The sequence below is a fragment of the Homo sapiens genome, chromosome 2, assembly GCF_000001405.40.
Source record: "Homo sapiens chromosome 2, GRCh38.p14 Primary Assembly".
Classification (NCBI taxonomy): Eukaryota; Metazoa; Chordata; class Mammalia; order Primates; family Hominidae; genus Homo; species Homo sapiens.
The window spans coordinates 168,165,330-168,185,353 of record NC_000002.12 but is presented as its reverse complement, the minus strand read 5'-3'; the positions used below and the strand labels follow the sequence as shown (position 1 = coordinate 168,185,353).

Here is a 20,024-nt window from a genome sequence, read left to right as displayed (position 1 = left end):
TGACTTAAAAGAGTGAACTGAAAAGATTTAAAGCCGTGCCCACTTAACTTGTGCATATGTGCATACAGGCCATAATCCTATTGAATGATTTATTGCACTTGAAATAGGAGTCAGGAATAAAATGAGAAATTCATAAAATGTTAAGAACTCTTATTCCAAAAGGGGTGCATGATACTTCATTGAAAATATGCTACTAATGTTAATGAGTCATGTGTCAGTATCATATATTGTTCAAAATAAATACAAGGTGCTGTTCAGCATAGTAATTGCTCTTATTTTATTTCATGTTGCTAACACTTGTCCAGTTCCTGTATTTACAAGCCCCACATTTTTTAGCTTCCTCTTAAACTAATCAGCAAAGTGCATAAAAACCCTTAAAGCAAGACAGTGTTGGTATTATTTCTAAATGTCCTTTAGAATTATGCAGTTAGGTCACCTCCTTTCCTTTCAAAGCATGGATTTACTCTAATCCTGGGAATCCTAATCTAGTACTAGCAGACTCCAAACTTTTGATCATCACTTACAGTAAAACATGTCATACTAAAGCTTGGGCGTAAGTGAAACAAAAGTTTCATAAAGCAGTTTTTACCCTTATTACATTCTGATGCTTCCCTTAAACAATGCTGGCCTCCACCCAGTTAGTTGATTTTGTGACCAGTGGATCCTCACTGGCAATTTGAAAAAACACCAACCTGGTGCACAGAATGGTAGATAAGGAATAAGTATGCCTAGGGTCCTAATCCTGTGCTTTCCAATTGCTGCAGGAAACACATCCCTATCCTTCACAGGACCCTGTTTTCTCATTCATAAAGTGAGGGGGTGGGTTGGACTTGATGCTCTCTAAGGTGCCTTTCCACCTTTAACTTTGTTCTTGGTCTCTTCTATAGTTGAAGGGAAATCTTTGGATTTAGAGTAGAATCTCCCAAACTGTTTAATGAATGGTTAAATCCATCCATGTTGTGACAATGATCTCAGGTCACAAAGCTTCATAATTCTGTCTAGAGATGAGAAGTAGCCAGTCGTTCCTTAGTTAGCTGTAGTTGTAAAGCAGTAACAATTCTCTAGCTGTAAAGCTTTAATAAAAGATTTTTCTCACCACCTACCCCTCCATGTTTTTAGAATTCTTATTTTTTGTTCCTTGGAGGTTAGGAGACTTTTACTGTCAAGGACTTAACTATGAGAGGTATCTCTGTATTACATACGCTTGTTTTGTCCTTTCTGGGAATTAATTTATTCTTTCCTGTTTTTGAAACTCCTTGATTTGTGAATGTTCTGGAATGTAGATTAAGGATGGAGAAGCTGAGCTGGGGGGAGATTTATTGCAGGTAGAGCTGAGGATGGTTTCCCACCAGCAGCTAAAGATGTTAGTTGATTTCTCTGCTGGGTACCAGGCCCAGTGCTAACCAGCTGCATAGCACTTTCTCTGTGGCTCCCTTCAGTGATAGTGTCTTGTTCCGGAGACTGGAAAATATACTTTGCTATCAGCAGACTTTTTGTATTGTTTGGCTCTGCCATCTGGACCATTCTGGATTGAACCCAGTGGGCTGTGATCTGCAGGGCCAGTGAAGCCAAACTAGTGGGACCTGGAGTAGCAGCCAATGGGGTAGCAGCTGATGGATGAGCAGTGAGATTAGGGAGAGGAAGGCCCTTTGAAGCAACCTGTCCATAGCACTCTCTTCCCAAACAGCTCTAGCAAATGAGGCTCATGCAGACCCTGGTCTGGGTTGTTTGTCTTCTGTTGAACCATATAGGATGGAAGAAAGTTTTTTCCTAGCAAGGCCAAAACAAGTGAGGAAGGGAAGCATGTGCTCTGGCTTGTGGGAAGTAGAACAAAAGCACACATCTCGGAGTCTGGCAGGCGTGATGCTGATACTGGCTCAGGTACTTATTAGCTCTATGTGACCTTGGGCAAGTTTTCTGAGTCCCGGTTTTCTCCCATGTAAAATGAGGCTAGTAATAAAAATGTACAGGCTCATAAGGAGTCAAGTGTCTACTGTGCAGTGGGTGGTCAGTATGTGTGTGTGGATTTTCTTTCCCAGTGAACACAAATTGGGCTTCCCTGGAATGGTAGTCTTTAAGTTGGAGACCTGGGTTTGGAGGAGTAGGGTGATCTGCTGGGGTTGCCAAGTCGGGGGCCAAACCTGATGATGAGGCCACAGGGCGGAAGAAAGGGCAGAGCTTCACCCCTGTAAACACCCATTTGGGCCCTTCCTTGGGGTGGGAAAGCCCTGATTCGCACTAGAAATGTCATGCCTTTCTATCACATAAATTAGGAAGGCTAATACTGATCTCTCTTGTTGCCAAATACTCCCCTGCTTTCCCTTTTATGATGCTATTTGATGAATCATTTGAGAAGTATTACCTGAAGAAAAACTTTAGGGAGAAAGATTGTCACCTCTGACCACCTTTGCACAATCCTGAGTGCAGGCTGTTTCTGTTGTTGGCTATCTTGCAGTGGTAGAGGATTTATGTGATGAGAATGGCAGTTTTGGTGTTATTTGCAGAATTGAGATGCCTTAACCTGAAAACCTTTTTGCCCCTATGGAGTATAAAGCCGATTAGGAGTTCTTTTGTGCTCTGCCGCAAATCATTACATGTCTACATTTTGCTCTTATAAAATATGGATAATGACATGACTCTGTCTCTTAGGAGTCTGAGTGCATTAGCTAATGATCATGAAACCTTAGAAATAGAAAATTTATATGAATGTCAAGAGCTTTTGTAATTACACATTTGCATCATTTTGCTTGGCATCCTTGAAAGTTGTGCTTTCAACATGAGAATACTAGGGTTGATTCTTGTTTTTCTCATTGTGGAGCAAGCTCTGAAGAAATAAGCCCAAAGAGTGTTCAAACATCAATTATCTCAGCTTCTCATGAAAGCCTTGAAGTAGCTTAGACCAGAGTGGTTTGGTTTGGGCTGAGGTGGAAGAAGAGCTTGAGATATTTTAAAGGCACTCAAGCTAGAAAATACCAGGAACTGAGGATGGAAATGGCTTTCATGCAAGGTTGTATGTAGATGCTCATGTCCCTTGTCCCCTGTGTCCTCAGACATACATTGTCTGGAAAATGCAGTTTTTTTTTTCTCCTCCAGATAATTATTTTAGGATTTAAGAAACTCTTTAAAAAAAAGATGTCAAATGGTAATGTTCTGAATACGCTGAGTAGAAGAGTTTAAAAAAATTGATCTTTAGGAAAATAGTTACAGATAGTAACCTCACAGTGTGCCATTTGATCGCTGATGTTGTTTTTATTTCATTGCAGGCAGTGGAGCTACTGCTGTGGTTCAGGCAGCCCTATGCAAACCCAGGCAAGAACGTGTAGCAATAAAACGGATCAACTTGGAAAAATGCCAGACCAGTATGGATGAACTATTAGTAAGTAACAGTGCAGGGAATACCTGCTGGTTGCTTTTCTTAATCTATGGGTATATGGGGATGGTTGGGAGAAGAGCAAGGTGTTATCTCCAGTTTTGACATATGCATTTCTTGGAAAGCAGCCCCTACCACTTCCTGCTCCCCAGATTAATGGGACTGTACCTTATGATTGTGTTGTATAATGAACACCTTCCCTTGCTTTGAGAAACAGTATTTTGCTCAGTTCGAATAATCCCAAGGTGAGAATGGCCTCAGCGTTGGCACTCCACTTGCTGTATCAAGGGCACACACTGTGGCGTGACCTAACATGACAGGATTACTGACTGCAGTTTTGGATGGTGAGCTTCTGGCCCTCCATCTAGAATGTGTGACACAAATGGAAGTTGTCCCCCAAACTATTTGTTGGTCATTTTAGCTTTCATAAATTATAGCATCACACAAATTTGAGTTATTTTTTTTTTAAATGCTCTGTAGCTTGCATTTGGCTAATGAGAGGAGTTTGTTTTTCTTAACGTGGCAATTTGTACTTCTTATTCTAAATGAGTACTTTATATAAATAATTGGAGCTTGTCAGTGTGGATATGACTATAGTAGCAATGGTTGGTTGAAGGAACATTTGCTTTTGGCTTAGCTGACTCATTATTAAATGAACAGCTTGGCAAATGGTTATTAGTTGCCCGGCAAACTGTGAAGGGTTTGAGGGTTTAATCTCATAAATATCGTTGTTGTTCTACCGGCCAATTTTCTTTTTTTCCCTTTTGGCCATTTATTTGAGGATAATAGAAAACTGCAGTGGAGGAGTTAACTGATTGGTTATCCCCACACTAATCCCAGTACAAATATTAGTCCAGTAGCTCCATACAAGCTACAAAGTATAATGACAGTTGGCTGCAAATGAAGAAGCCTTTTGTTACAGTCTACATTGAGAATGGAATGTCATTAACAACAGCTTTTTGTCTTTACTCAGAATATAGCTTTTATTTTAGGCTTAATTACAGTACACTATAGTATAAATTAAGTACAAGGATAAAGCTGTACTTTTCCAGATCTGTTTGGCCTTACATTTTAAATTAGGCTACACAATGCATAGATTTCATTGGGTTTTATTGAAGCAATGGATTGCCGGCTAAAACTCAGAAGAGAACCAGGGCTTCCACAATTTAATGTTAATTTTTGAAATTTGCATACATTCAAGGCTTTTAACGGCCTTGAAATTTCAGCTGTGCTTTGCTCTTACTGAAATTCCTGCTGCATGCTACTTGTCTGTTGCTTGCTATCTTAGTGACCAGTAATATTGTGCCTTTGTCACCCAACCAGTTTTCAAGGTCACTTTCTCTGAGTTGGAAAACGCATTTTATAAACTGTGGGGAGAGTTGGGTCCTGCTTCTGCCACTAAACTTGTTTTCACTTTAGTAGAGTTACACAACAGCTCTGCGCGATTTAAAAAGAGTTGAATTGGAAGTTTTCTTCTAAGATCCCTTTAGGAATCCTGAAATTCTGTGGCTATGCATAAGTGTACTTTAACATTTAAAAAAAAAATTTGGAGTGTGCATTTAAATATATGTACTGTTTGGATGTATCACTCAAGAATTTGCCAGTGATAGTTGTGTTTTTGTTTTTTGTATTTTTTTGAGACAGAGTCTCACTCTGTTGCCCAGGCTGGGGTGTAGCAGTGTGGTTTTGGCTCACTGCAACCTCCGCCTCCTGGGTTCAAGCGATTCTCCTGCTTTAGCCTCCCGAGTAGCTGGGATTACAGACATGCACCACCACGCCCGGCTAATTTTTGTATTTTTAGTAGAGACAGAGTTTCGCCATGTTGGCCAGGCTGGTCTCGAACCCCTGACCTCAGGTGATCTGTCCGCCTCGGCCTCCCACAGTGCTGGGATTACAGATGTGAGCCACCGCACCTGGCTGATACTTGTGTTTGATTGTGGTATTCTGTTAGAGGTCTCAGCCATTTTTTTTGCCATTAGCAGAATATTGATACAGAATATGTGTAAGGCTTGCGTGTACTTGTGCCTGACAGTTCTGGAGCCTGCCTTCTGGTTTGATGCTATGGTCTCTGGTTTCTACCAAGCCCTCAGTTGCCCACAGCCTTCACGTTTCCCTCTGCTAGCGTTTCCTCCACAGTGTCCAGTGATGGTAACCGTGTAAGCTTCTGGGTGGAGGTCAGCAGGGAGGCTGGTCATTCTGGTTTCTTTCCTTTGTTTTCCTGGAACCAGTAAGCATAGCAGTGTCATTTGGAGCTACTTGTAACTTAGGTAGAGCTGTCTATCTAAGGACTGGTGCTTTTGTGGCTTTGTGCTTTGCTCCATTCGTCTGAGGTCTTAGGATTTATGAGTTTGCTTATGAGGAGTTAATTTATTTTCTCATTCTTATTTTCTTTCCTTAATGCCCGTGTTGCAATAGAGTATAATATATTTGCATTATTTATTTTTCATTTTATATTGATTTATTGCTTTGATGTTTCCTTACCCTTGAATCTTTGACCTTTTGGTGTGTTGATATATTTAGAGAGGGGGGAAATGGCTATGGTTCTTTAGGATGTACAACTCCCAGGTCGTTTTCAAACAAAAATAAATAGAATTTACAGAGTATAGCCTGCCTGATTTGCCAGGCTTCTGTGGCCCAGTTATTGGCACATGAGATCGTGTGGAGCACAGTTGCTGTCATCTTTTCAATGTCTAATACTGCTGTTGCTTGCACTTTTATTATTTCAGAGGGCTCACATTTTGGCAGTGTTTGGACATCTGGTATCCTAATAATCCTTTAATTCCATGAGTGTGTATTATATACAGGTCAGTGCACTGCATCGTCTCACAGACTGTGCCATGTGTTAACTGGAAACCATTGTTCCTAGAAGAAACAATGGCCACTGGGATCTCTTCTTGTGAGAGTGTTATGTCATAGAAATCACAATTATCAACTATTTGTTGGCCACTGGGACATGTTTCTCCCTTGATGAAACTGTAACACCTCCTGACCCCGACTCCCAGCTCAGCCCCCACTGACTACCTATCCCCGTCCTGTCCCCACTCCCTTTGTCCCATAATAAAGGGGGATTTACACACACAGGTCAGAATTGATGGCACACAACAGTTTTAGGCAACTGGTCCAGAACTCGACTTCTTTATGTGGTAGGGGCTGTCAGTTGAGTTTCCTGTAGGTCACAGAGCTGGATCCAGGGTTTGCTGAAGAAGGAGTCAAGCAGTCATCATTTCTGAAGGGAAGTGCTAATTACAGTGTCAGCTTCTTTGTGAATGAGGAGAGGAAAAGAAGTGTTAGATGAGCTCATTGGTGCTAAATAATTGATGATTCAGATTTATACTGTTGAAATGAGTACTGTAATATTCTGTAAAGATAAGTTAGTTACAGATCAAATAGGCATTTATTTATTTATTTGGTAAATACTTACTGAGTTTCTGTATTATGCTTAAGCCCATCAAAAGGATGACTTTTGGGTGTGTATATGAGAGTACAAGGCTTTATGCCCACTAAAAATTCATTTTAGTTTAACAGCAATTAGATTAGAACACTCCCAAATAAATGTTTTTCTTGGTATGATATGAATAGCAATTAATCTAATCCTTTTTTATTTATTCTTTTGAATTTTCATGTATGTTTTGGAGTTTGGCCTTTTAACTGTACTCTGATCTCTGAAGGTATAATGATCTTAGTGTTTAGTTTTCCAGGAGCCAAGGATATGTTCTGGTTTGTTCTGTATTCCTTACTGTGCCAACATAGATGCTTTGGTAATTTCTGAAATTTGTTAACCCCACATTTGTTGTTAACTGCACATTTGTCAAGCCCATCATGGTGTAAATGACTAATTATAACTAGTTTAATGCTCTCTAGGAGATACTTACAGTTTTAGAGCAGAACTTGTTAACACCAGAATTATCAAACCCCCTTAGATGCTAGGCACTGACTTTGGTGATGGGAAAACAGAATGGATTCCTATTTTTGGGGGAGACCATGGACTAGTGAATGAGTCTCTTCATTTTTGTTTTGGGTTGGTGAGATTTTTGAACTAAGGGATGTTTTTCTGGACCTTTTGTCTTTATTTGCCCAGAAATGGTTTAGCAGATGACTAGACAGTTTACTTTTGTCTAATATGTATTCCCTTGAGGGAGTTCCTGCTTTCCAATAGGAATTTAAGATTTGCCCAATGGGTCTGACCCATTGTCTTGCAAACTAGTATATTCTGTGTCAAGATGGCCTTGAGGTTTCCTGCTAGAGCTTGGCTCTCTGGTTTGTGATCAACCTCAAAGGCTAGGGATGCTACCCTGGGGCACTCTTGACTTCCCTTAAAATCCATCGCATGAGTGCTTTTTCTTGAAGTCATGTGTCTTTTCAGCCTCTATCACCAGGTGACAAAATGAACTCCATAAATATAACAGTCCTTCCTTCTATTTACCCTAACCCCACTTTTTGTGATGTTCAGGTTACTCTACTTTATTCAGGGATTGATGAACATTTTGGTTCATCACCTTATTTGACTTTATGACTTTTAGACTTTAAATAGATCCCTTTCAATTTTTTCCTATTGCCTCAAGTTCTCATATTTCTAGTCTGCCTTTGGTACCCATTCACAGAAAATTCAGCCTCATTTGCTCATTCCTACACATACATCAATGCCATCAAAATTTACAGTTTAATTCTCAGGGGCAGGAGAGTCATAGGAGAAATCATGGCCCGGGGACGAGGCAAAGCATTTGTGTCATTAAAAAAATGAAAGAAATAATTAAGTGATTACGTTATGAAATTATGGAATGCTCATTCCATAATTTCCATATGTGAATTCCATATGTGAACAAAGTCATTTCAAGAAAACCATGGCTATAAAAAAGTGATGAATGTTGATCCTTTGATAGAAGGAAAGGAACTCCCTGGGTCAGGGGACTTGCTTTCTTTGCTTGACTCCCCTACAGAACTGCTCATTCTGGAAAAATCAGTTTCACCACTGGTCCTTATTTGTGTGATGACAAATTCTGGCAAAATTTTATTTTTATTACCCAAGTGCTATGAATCTATGTATTTAAAAGTATATTAACAAAACCCCCTTTTCAATTCACTTAAATAAAAATACTAATTACTAGCAAATCATGCATGGTAATTCAGGATAGAGTCAAGTCACTTTAGCATTACGGTATGATAGCAGAAATCTACTGTAAATTCATAGATTTGGGTACACAGTGTATCATTTTTTTCTCCTATGAACATAATGAAAGAGTTTCTCTGTCATTCAGTAGTCTTCAACTGTCATCTGCTTTTTTCTTCCTGTATCATCTTTCTCTAGGGATTTTGGTCTAACTCACTGACAATATTTATAGATAAAATCAAGAACTTTTTCCTCAGAACAAAGCCACTGCCCTCATTTTGCTTTCTGCTGTAGCGTTGTTTTGTTGTTTTTCCTTTCTCTTGATCTACTGTTCACTCCCTCCGTCACCTCCCTCTCCTTAGAAAAATGAGTTAGCTATGATTTGTGGGTTATTGGAGAATAAAGCTCTAGATATCTTCGTGGCTTGATGATCATTTGAGAAGAACTGTTATTCCTAACCATTATCTGATGCAGGTTGCTCTCATCCTTTTTAAATTAAAAGATTTGGTGACCTCTGAGCAGTTCCTCCAGTCAGAAGGTTTTTTTTTTCTCTTCCTTTTAATTGAGGTTTAAGGGGGGGAGAAACTCTCAAAACCTTGTTTGCAGTGTTTTAGCAAATTTATGGAATTATGTTAATACTTTTGCAAAGCTTGTTTATTCTAGAAAGATAGTGATTAAAAAACTTCCATCTTTTTAATTTGACCCTAAAACAGTATAATTTTGTATGTGTGTGTTTTCTTTATCGCATCAACGAAAGTATGTTTCCATTCTTTTTGAAGTTAAGAATTTTCTAATTAGTACATTAATAATTCATATCCCAGCTCATTCATCGTATGTGGTAACAAATTGCATTTAGCTATTTGTTGTAGAGTTTTTTATATTAAGGATATAGCATTAGCATGCAAGCCTACTTCACTGAATATAGTATAGTTTTGAGCATTTCAGGTTTCAACCATTAAGTTTTGTTCTGTCATCTGTCTCTTGCCACTTAGTTTTGTAATTATTTTAATATATTTTGTAGTACTATTTCGAGCATTTCAAGTCTCGGCCATTAAATTTTGTACTGTTATCTTTTTCTTGCAACTTAGCTTTGTAACTATTTTCACGTAATTTGGTGTTTATGTTTATCCAGGTATAGTCCAAATGAGGGCAGGATTGGAAATAGAAAATTTTTGTTTATTTTGAAAGCACAAAAACATTCTTAACGAATTGGAGAATAAATACTATACTGTATATGCAAAACTAACATTTTTAGAGCACTAAAGTTGTATTAGCTTAGGAACATGTATAATTTGGTTGGAGAAAACAACTTTTATTTTTGGAACATCAAATTTAAAAGTTATGTAGCTTATTCGGATACTAATTAAATATACTAATTGAATTTACTTTTAATTGTTTTCTACATTTGTTAGAAATAGCTCATTAAAATGTCTAACCTCTCATGCTTTTTTTTCAGAAAGTAAGCAAAAATTAACATTGCAAAAACACTTATGTTTTGGGGCTTATATGTTTTCAGTAACAGGGACCCAGCACATACTCATTTTCAGAGTAGGAGAAAATGGGGAAAACATGCCCAGATTGAATATAATTTTAGTTACATCTCACTTTTTAAATATCTCACTTTTGCCTTTCTTCTAGACTTCAGGAAAATGTTGCTTAGGTTGAGACAAATGCTTTAGTTCTTTCCTATGTTATTGTCGTTCTTATTTTGGTTTCGTTATTTCCATAATTAATTAAGCTGTTGCTGAAAAAGGAGGGCTGTGGAATCCTCAGGAGGAAGGTTGGAGAGTATTAAGAGGAGGCTGCAGGAGGGTTGTTCCCTGGCAGAACCCCAGATGGCACACAGTATCCAGGGTGCCACAGGCGATACCACAAAAAGAAGACACATTACACCCTACATTGTCACTGTGTGGTGGTGAACCCAAATACAGCAGCAGTGGTAAAAGTTGGCCTCTAGGTTTCCAGCAGTACAATTTGGCTGACAAGAAAAGTTCTTCCTGTTTCTGTTTCTGGTTTCTTGGGTGTTTTTTTTTTTTTTTTTTTTAAGAGATGAAGTCTTGCTATGTTGCCCAGGCTGCCCTCGAACTCCTGGGCTCAAGTGATCCTTCTACCTCAGCTTGGTGAGTAGTTGTCATTACAGGTGCATGCTACCAGGCCGGCCATCTATTTCTGTTTTTAATGACATCTTCAATTTGAATTTTTTCAGTATTCCCAGTCACAATTTAATGGTCAAAAAGCGATTGTTCATACCTGAGTGTGAGTCTGATTCCACTGTGGCACCCTCAGCACTTTTAGAGCCCAAAAGACATCATTATTGTTTGTTGAATAACTTTTTTAGCTAACTATAAAAGAAAATGGCATCTTCCTATTGAGTTTTCATATAGTATTTCAATATCACTACTGTATTTTTTGCTTTCTCCCCCTTGTTTCATTTGAAAAAAATAAGTGGCTTCTTCACTTCCAAGCGAATTTTAATTTTTTAGGACAGTTTTTGCAGAGCACGCAATTTCATGACATTATAACGAAGCAAGTAGGCCTTGGGATATTCATTCTGTTCCGTTAGCAAGTAGACGTTTGCCCATCGGGATTTCTCTGCTACTTCTGAGAGATTTTCCAGACCTTCAATTGCCCTGACACTTTACACTTTTTATAACTGCTTCTCCCTAGTTTTAAAAACTTCTCTACAAACACCAATTAAGGCTATCACAAAATTTATGCTTTCCTTTTCCTGATTTCTTAAAAATGTTTCTATTTCTTAAAAATGTTTCTCTTTCTTCAAAATACCTAGTTCCCATTTGTAAACCTGCCTTCCATTGGACTATACTTGGTTAAACTCAGATACCAAATCACATGAAAATAATTGTAAAGTTAAGTGGCAAAGGACATTCGTTGATTGATTTGTAAGTGGTACAAGACAAAATGTTTGACTTCCTTGAATAGGTTTTTCTCTGCTGGTACTTTTCTTATAAAGGAGGCAAGAGTTTGCTGTATAAATGGTATATCATTTTTTGCAATTAAAAGAATTCATGACTGGGTGCGGTGGCTCACGCCTGTAATCCCAGCACTTTGGGAGGCTGAGGCAGGTGGATCACCTGAGGTCAGGAGTTCAAGACCAGCCTGGCCAAAATGGTGAAACCCTATCTCTACTAAAACTACAAAAATTAGGTGGCACACACCTGTAATTCCAGCTACTCAGGAGGCTGAGGCAGGAGAATCGCTTGAACCCAGGAGGCAGGGGTTGCAGTGAGCCGAGATTTCACCATTGCATTCTAGCCTGGGCAACAAGGAGCAAAACTCCATCTCAAAATGAATAAATAAATATAAATATAAATAAAAAAATTCACAATGACATTTTCATGATTGAAAATGACAGTCCAGAAAAATACATTGCTCTTCTAAGACCTTGTTAATCCTGTTCTTCCATGCCTTGGTTGACGTTTGAAATCACTGAAATTTGTTTTTGGTTAAACCTGCTACTTAACAGTATTCGGTTATTTGTGAATATTGATTAGGTTACCTTTCATAATGCTGCTAAAAGAAGTGCATGCTGGAGAAAGACTTTCTGAAAAGTGTTTTTATTTAACAAGATTACTCCTATACCATTTAAAGAATTCTTTAAATGTTTCGAGGGTATTGCATACATTTTACAGATGTATTTGGTCATCTCTTGCATTTGGAAGTAGATGTTTTATTTGATAATATTTGTACATCATACATAGATTACATTGCAGTGGGGAAACGTGCCTGGGAGCTACATGTTTCTCTCACCATTTCATTGAAAGAAAAATACATTTCAGCACTTAGCTCGCAAGTAGGGGTTCTAAGCTGTGGCTGCACATTAGAACCACCTGGGAGCTTCTGAAAATTTTCATTCCCAGGCTGTCTCCTAAACCAATTTACAGCAGCCTCCCTGGGGCCGGGACTCAGGTGTGGGTATTTGTCAAAGCTCCCCAGGTGATTTCAATATGCAGCCAAGGTTGCGATCCATTGCTTTAGAATAAAGTTAGAAGCATCTCCTCAGATTTAACTGCATACAATTTTGGAGCTTGAGTAAGTTTGATTTCTTAACTAAGTACTTGAGTAGGATATTTTGCCATCATTATCAGATAAAGAATAATTTATTTAGGATTTACATAAGTTGTAAAATACGCAAATTTGGTTAAGTATAGTTTAATATTTTGAATTCAGAATCATTTAAACTCTTCCCTTTCAGTAACAAAAATCTCTTTCCTTTTAGTGTTTTATGAATCTCACGGTCTTAGGAACAAAAGAAATCAGGTTTTAACTTTTTCCTAATTCTTATATCTTTAAACTTGTACTATTTCTCTTTGTTCTGAACCCTTTGCATAAGTATCTATTTAGATAACTTATTCCGAAAGAGTTTGAGGCAGTTTACCAGGATACATGAAGTATGACAAGGTGGTATAAATTAAATACAGGGTGAAATTAGGAAAAACATGGGTTGAGACAATGTAGAGGTTAAAAATTCATGACCAAATGACCTATCCATGCATTACAGCAAACTCCTTGAGCCAGTGGGGCCAACAGATGTGTCCTGTGACATTTCTGTTGGAAAAAGTGACGGCTGCTGCCATGGTCTGTCTCTGTGCCTTTGAGGCTTAGTCAGGAATTGGGACACTTGAGATTAGGGCGATGCTCACACGCAACGAAGAAACTGAGACATTGAACAGACTGAATTAACTTTGAACATTTGTGTTATGTGCTAGGCATTCTGCAAGGAGTTTTATACATCTCATTTCCCCTACCTCACAATAATCTCATGTAGATAGTAGTAATCTCCTTTTACAGAAAAGGAAACTGAGGCTCAAAGTTGTTGGATAACCCGCCTAGGTAATCAAGCCAGTAAATGGCAAGGCCAAGCTTCCAAGCCAGCTGTGACATAGAGTGCGGCCCTTCAGTAGTAGATCCTGGAGGATCAGATCCTTGCTAGTCACAGTTCCTGATTGGCCTCAGTACTATTTGTAGGAGAAATAATGTTTTGTGTGTGGGGGGGAGGGGGGAGTGGGGGGGGCGTGGAAATGAAAGGCCATATAGCAATATGAGAAAATCTCTTATTATATTTAGTTATGGCAGGGTACAGTGGCTCACAGCTGTAATTTCAGCACTTTGGGAGACCAAGGAGGAGGATTGCTTGAGCCTGGGAGCTCGAGACCAGCCTGGGCAACACAGTGAGACCCTGTCTCTACAAAAAATTTTTAAAAATTAGCTGGATGTGATAGCATGTGCTCATCCCCCCTGCTACTCAGGAGGCTTGAAGTGTGAAGATTGCTCGAGCCAGGAAGGTTAAAGCTTCTGTGAGCTATGATTGCGCCATTGCACTCCAGCCTGGACAACAGAATGAGATTGTCTAAAAAAAAAAAAATTAAGTTTTTTTTTCCCTTTTTTTATTTTCAGTTCTGTTATTTTTTGGGGGAAGGGGAAGTTTTTTCCTCCCAACTCCTCATATTTGTAGGGTAGGATACTTTATTTTGTATTCCTCACCACACCTAGCATGACGCGCGTAATGTCTGGTTTGGCAAATTTTGCAGGGCTGGCATAACAGCAGTGTGTGGGTGTCCTTCTTTGATATGTCTTTCTTGCACATGGCTCCCTGCAGAGGGGTGCTGCTGTGGCTGCCACTTCAGTTCTAGCAGGTGGATAGGGGATCTTCCATGCTACCCCATTTTAAGGTTGGTCTTCCCACTCTTGTGAAATTTCACTTGTGATACATTTCAGATGGAGCTGCATGAACAGCTCTGTCAGCCTCAGAGAAGATTAACTACTGTGCCATAGCTTGGTTTGGCGCTTGTGACATGTCTAAGTCTCATTTCCTCGGTTTCCAAGGGAGCCACTGTGTTCAATTCCTTGACTATATTTTTGGCAAATGTGTTGCCTGCATTTCAGAGTTCTGTAGTTTCTCCCATCTTTGACCTCGTGGGATTTTTGTTTGTTTGTTTGCTTGCGTTTCTTTTTTAAATCTCAATGAAGTTTTTACCCTTTTCTGTCCTTGTGAAATTCACACCACTTTAGTACAACAGTCTCCCTTATTTCCAGCTTTGCTTCTTACCCCTCTCCTCCAGTTAGACTCTCCTCCAGTTAGACTCAGCCAGGCAGTACTGTCGGCCAGACCCACTACTGGGCACTTTTGACACTGTCGGCTTCCTTGCAGTCGTCTGTGTCCCTCCTCTCACATCCCCCAACCTTCCTCTCTGCCTTCTTTCAAAGCTCAGTCTACCACTTTGCCACTCAAAGTCTGGTTTCTGGACCCACAGCATCAGCATCACATGGAAGCCTGCTAGAAATGCAGATTCTCAGGCCGCACTGCAGCCCTTCCGAATGGGAGTCTGCATCTTAGCAAATTGCTGAGGTGATCTGCATGCCCATCCAAATTAGGGAAGCACCGCTTTAACTCACGCTTCTGCCTTGGGTTGTGACCTAATTAAGAGAATAGGATGTTAGAACCCATTCATTCTGTCGAAAGAATCAGCTAAAACATTTTTATATTTTCAAATTGTTCATCTTTAGGCAATAGTTTTGTCATTTTTAGGGATAGGGACAAACAAATATGCTTGGTAATGAATGTCTTTTCCTAACCATATGAATGCGGTTAGGGCATTAGGAGAAGCTTAGATAATTTAACCAATAGATTGTTACCAAGGGAGCTTTCAAATAACACCCATCATTGTTTTGAAAAGAATGGAGGGGATAGTTTTGTGGAAAGATTTCTAGTTTTCAGGTTTTTAACTTTCTTCTATGTGGAAATATTACTTATCCTGGGGATCAGTGATAGCATAGGTCATATCTCAAGACAGAGCTACAGATGTTTCTCCCTAAGGCGAGTTTCATCATGTCCTTAAGCATTAATGCTTGTGGAAAAGCTGCTGTGCAGGACAATGGATGGTGCAGGAGTTGGGGACATGGACCCCCCTAGCCAAGAAGTGAAGAGGGATGGCTCAGCTGCATGGAAGAAGAATGTGAGGTTGAGTGATCAAACTGATGGAAAGCCACTCTTGGGCCCCCTGCCCCTTCTTTTACCTGTCCTTATACTGCTCCTGTGGTTGTGTTGGTGTGGCAGTATCTGTGACCCCTCATCCCCCACTCATTTAAATTCTGGAACCTTTTAATGTCCAGATGGTGTCTCTAAGACTCAGAGTTTTGAAGGAATAGAATTTGCTAAGTTATATCTATAGGTTCTACAGGTTTTCTAAAGGAGTTACACACACACACACACACACACACACACACGCTCACTGCAAAGTCAGAGAACCTGATACTTTGGGTGGGAAGTGATACTGGCCATCTAAATGCAAAGGGCTAAAAAGTGTGTTTTTCTAGACTGACTCAACCTTGCCTTCAATGTAAAAGAATTTCCTTTTGTATGACCATTAGTTGTTTTGTGCATTTTGATAAATTATTTAAAAGTTTGGAGTTACAGCACTAGAAAAGCATTCACTTACATTTAGAGTGCAGCTGCATTTAAGAGACATTGTTCTCGTTTCTTTGAACACTAGGCATCTGTTTAAACTGGACCCTACCTAATGCTACAGACCTTCAGTGTGGGCCATCCCCGCACTGAGCAGATGCTATTGACTTGAAATAGGAGTGGCCAGGGCAGTGTTCCATTTCTCCTTCAGAAGTGTCTTATGGCATCAGAACCTAATACCGGAAACAGATGGAAACTGAACCTCAGGTTTCAGATCTTATTCAAAGGATAAGAGTTGCTGAATTGAAAAGTGTCAGATTTAGAAAACCTGTAATCAGTCAAATGGATGAGGGGAATGATGAAGGAAAATCATTGTTATATACTGAGAAGAAAAAAGAAAAATTAGTAGTTTCTAAGGAGTTTATCTTTGGTTAAAAGCACTTCATTTTTATTATTTTTTAATTTTTTTTTGAGACAGAATCTTGCTTTGTCACTCAGGCTGGAGTCCAGTGGCACGATCTCAGCTCACTGCAACCTCCACTTCCCGGGTTTGAGTGATTCTCGTTCCTCAGCTTCCTCAGTCATTGGGACTACAGGCGCACACCACCACACTCAGCTAATTTTTTTGTAGAGACAATGTTTCTCATGTTGGCTGGGCTGGTCTTGAACTCCTGACCTCGGGTGATCCGCCTGCTGCGGCCTCCCAAAGTGTTGGGATTACATGTATGAGCCACTGCCCCCAGCCAAAAGCACTTTAAATAAACATATATGTTAAGGAACGTATGAGTGTTACATATTACAGAATTTTGGCCAAGTTGTCGGATATATAGGATCTTTTTAGTAGTATGAGGATTAGGCAGTACTGGACAAGCAAAGATAACGTCCAAATTGAGATGTTCTGCTTGGGTAACTTTGAGTTAATGTGAAGCTCATTATTATTGAATATATTCATAGGATGCATAAATGTACCCTTCTTTCATCAATACATAATGGCAAAAATGAGGTTTCTTTGATCATTTAGGTTATTCTTGTCCTTTTTATGGCACCTTGAAAGTGAGTTACACTGGTCTGGTACCTTTGATTGAGAGTTACATTAGACTGAAGCTTTTATGGGAGTCATCCGACAATAACTTAAAACGAGAAACTGAAATCAATATGAAACTGAATATTCCAGAAAAATGTGATTTATTGAAAGTTTCCTTTTGTTTTATTTCTCAGCTTTGTTGTTTTATGTCTTTATATAAAACAACAAAGAATAAAATATATTTTATTCTCTACAGCAGTGTTTCCAAGATGTGACCCACAAAGCATTCTTTTCCTGCTCTGTTAATATGGATTAAACTATGGCAGTTTATCTACTGCAGGACTTCTCAGAGCCTTTGACAGTACTAATATTCCCTGTGATTCTTTTAGAATGAGATATATTATCTGATCTTTCCCAAGCTTATTTTACTTCGCCTGCCGCTCTCTTCCCTGCCACCTCCTTTTTTTAGTTAATGGAATATCTACTGTGGCAGATAGCTGGGAAATAATACTGTAGCATTTTCAAATGTATTTTCTCATTTACCATCACAGCAGTCCTGAGAAACAGGGACAGTTTTGTTGTCGTTTTTTGGATGAGGGAGGAGCTAAGATCCACCAGAGTTCAGGCTGGCACCAGGATGCAGGTGTCCTAGTAACTCACCCAGTCTTTTATCTCCCTGTCAAGCCTTCGGTTCAGGTATGAGGCTCTTAGTCCTATGTGGCAGGGCTCTCTGCTGGCAGAGTTGGGGGGTCATCTGGGTGATAACAGTGATCTGAAGTTCCTGTGTCTGGTAGCTGGTCCACAGGGCTCTGTGGTCTCCTGTAGAGAACTTTCTAATCTGAGTTGATAATGTGGGTGAGAGAATTGGTCCTTATATACCTTCTTTGAAGTAATGGCTTAGGCAGCCCCTCAGGTAGGCTTTCGAGTAGGAAAGTTACCCAGGTACTCAACTGTGATTCACTTGTGTTTTGCTTGCCAATTTTCACCCCATGGTACTATGTCATGTTTTGCTCTTTTTATAGAAAGAAATTCAAGCCATGAGTCAGTGCAGCCATCCCAACGTAGTGACCTATTACACCTCTTTTGTGGTCAAAGATGAACTTTGGCTGGTCATGAAATTACTAAGTGGAGGTAAGTGGATTTTGTTGTTGTTATTTATTTGCTTGTTTTCTCTCCTTTTGTTGGAACCAGCATATTGGAGAAGACTTTAGATTGAATCCTTTCTCTCCTGTGTTTGAAAGTTTGTTTGGTTTCTCATTGCCTAGAGGATAACGTCCAGATTGCTTCACATTGACCTTCAAAGCTTTTCATAATTTTGCTTAACTTCCGAGAATGTGTATGTCCTCTTCTCCAGGTATGAAATGCCCGACCTTCTAGGCTGAGAGGCAGCCCCCGGAATGTATTATGTGCTCTCATGCCTTTGCCCCTGACCTGTCCTCTTTCTCAGCCTTGCATCTCTCCTTTGTTTTCCATGTGCTCAGGCCTAAAAGGTCACATCCTCTCCACAGTCACCGCTTACTCTTCAAAAAAGTTAGCCAGTCCTTTCTCCTTGAGTCCTTTCTTTTTAACATTGTTCAGGTCCTTAACACATTGCAGTTTGCTGAATTATCTCAGTGCCATTTATCAGAATGTTCTGTGATGATGGAAATGTTCTGAGGTGCTGCTATCTACTTTTTACTAATCCCATGTGACTCTTAAGCACTTGACATGTGGCTAGTGTGACTGAGGGACTGAGTATTCAATTTTAATTAACTTACATTTAAATCACCTTGTATGGCTCCAGTATTGGACAGTGCATATTTAGGTTGTGGACTTTGTGAAGATTGTCTAATGCACTTTGAATTCATTGAACTTGGCGCCCAGTAGGTGCTCACTAAATGTGGTTTCAGTTGACATGGGGAGAAATGTGTGCTACATATTCACTTGCAGTGTTGATCAGAAATGGCACTATTGTCATCCTATTGTTGCATTTGGGAAGGGAAAGTCACTTCCTCTCTCTAGCTTCAGATCCCTGCAGTGATGCAAGCCATTGACAATTTAATTTACAAGGTGCTTTCACATCCTGTATTTTATTTCTTTTAATCTTCTAACATCACTATCAGAGAGGGAATGATAATGATAACCGTTGCCTTTTTTGAACACTTACTCTGTGGCTAGATCCTGTCCAAGGCAATTTACTGACCTTATCCCATTTAATCTTCACAGTGTCCCTGAATGGCCTGTGTCACCATCCCTGTTTTTCAGAAATTACACCAAATTTCAAGGGAGTTTAGCAACTTGCCCAAGGTCACACACATAGTAAATGTTGGTGCTGGAATTTGTGACTTTAACATCTGTTGACTTAAAAATTTGTATGCTGTGCTGCAAGTATTTACACCTTCGTTTTGCAGACATGGGCACTGAAGCTTAGAAAGCCCAAGTGATTTCCTTGGGAACACCCAGCATACCCACATCTCTGGTGTGTTCTCTTTCGAGGGCTTGATTCTCTGGGTATCTTTCTGAGACATGAAGTATGGTTTAGGATCAGAGGAGAACATTTTGCTGTGCCTGGACAACCCAAAACTAGCATAGCAGAATTTATATGATAGAGCCTATTTTAATCTGCAGATGTCGAGGGAGGTGTTTTAATGTTTTCCTTTTTTAAAAAGGAAACTCTCTTGGATCAAGCAGAAGCCCAAAAATGAGATGACGAAGGCATTGTAATTGGCTTGGGTCTGCTTGTGTAGGTCTCGGTGGGGAGCCCTGGGGAGCTTAGTTCTGTTCTGTTTTCAGTCTTCCTCAGTCTTATTAGTCATTGTTTCCTTGAGTGCCTACTTCAGTTTTTAATTAAAAAGAAAAAAAGAAAAAGGAAAAGAAAAAGGAAGCCTGCCAGAGCTGGACTGCAGTATTGAGTGCTGGGACTGCCCCTTTATTCAGCAGAGGAACTTGCGCTTTGCCAACAAGATGATCTTAAGGCATTCTCTTTTTGTGGGGTTCCACCAACTCTGAGGAAATGAGAAATTCTGATGACTTGAGACCCTGAATAGTCCCAAATGCTCTGCTCAAGCTGAAGATTTTACCTTTTGCTTTATGAAGCTGAGAATCTTCTGTTTTCTGAGGA

At 39.6% G+C, this 20,024-nt stretch overlaps 1 protein-coding gene across 7 annotated transcripts in view; it reads left to right on the top strand.

Moving 5' to 3' along the window:
* The window catches only part of STK39 (serine/threonine kinase 39), a 293,574-nt gene that overhangs the window by 62,242 nt on the left and 211,308 nt on the right, over nt 1–20,024 (top strand). For all 7 annotated transcript variants that reach the window (NM_001410961.1, NM_013233.3, XM_047443944.1 and 4 more), the window contains exons 2-3: nt 3,264–3,376; nt 17,947–18,055. In NM_001410961.1, the coding sequence (NP_001397890.1) occupies nt 3,264–3,376; nt 17,947–18,055 (222 nt within the window). The remainder of the gene's footprint in view (nt 1–3,263; nt 3,377–17,946; nt 18,056–20,024) is intronic.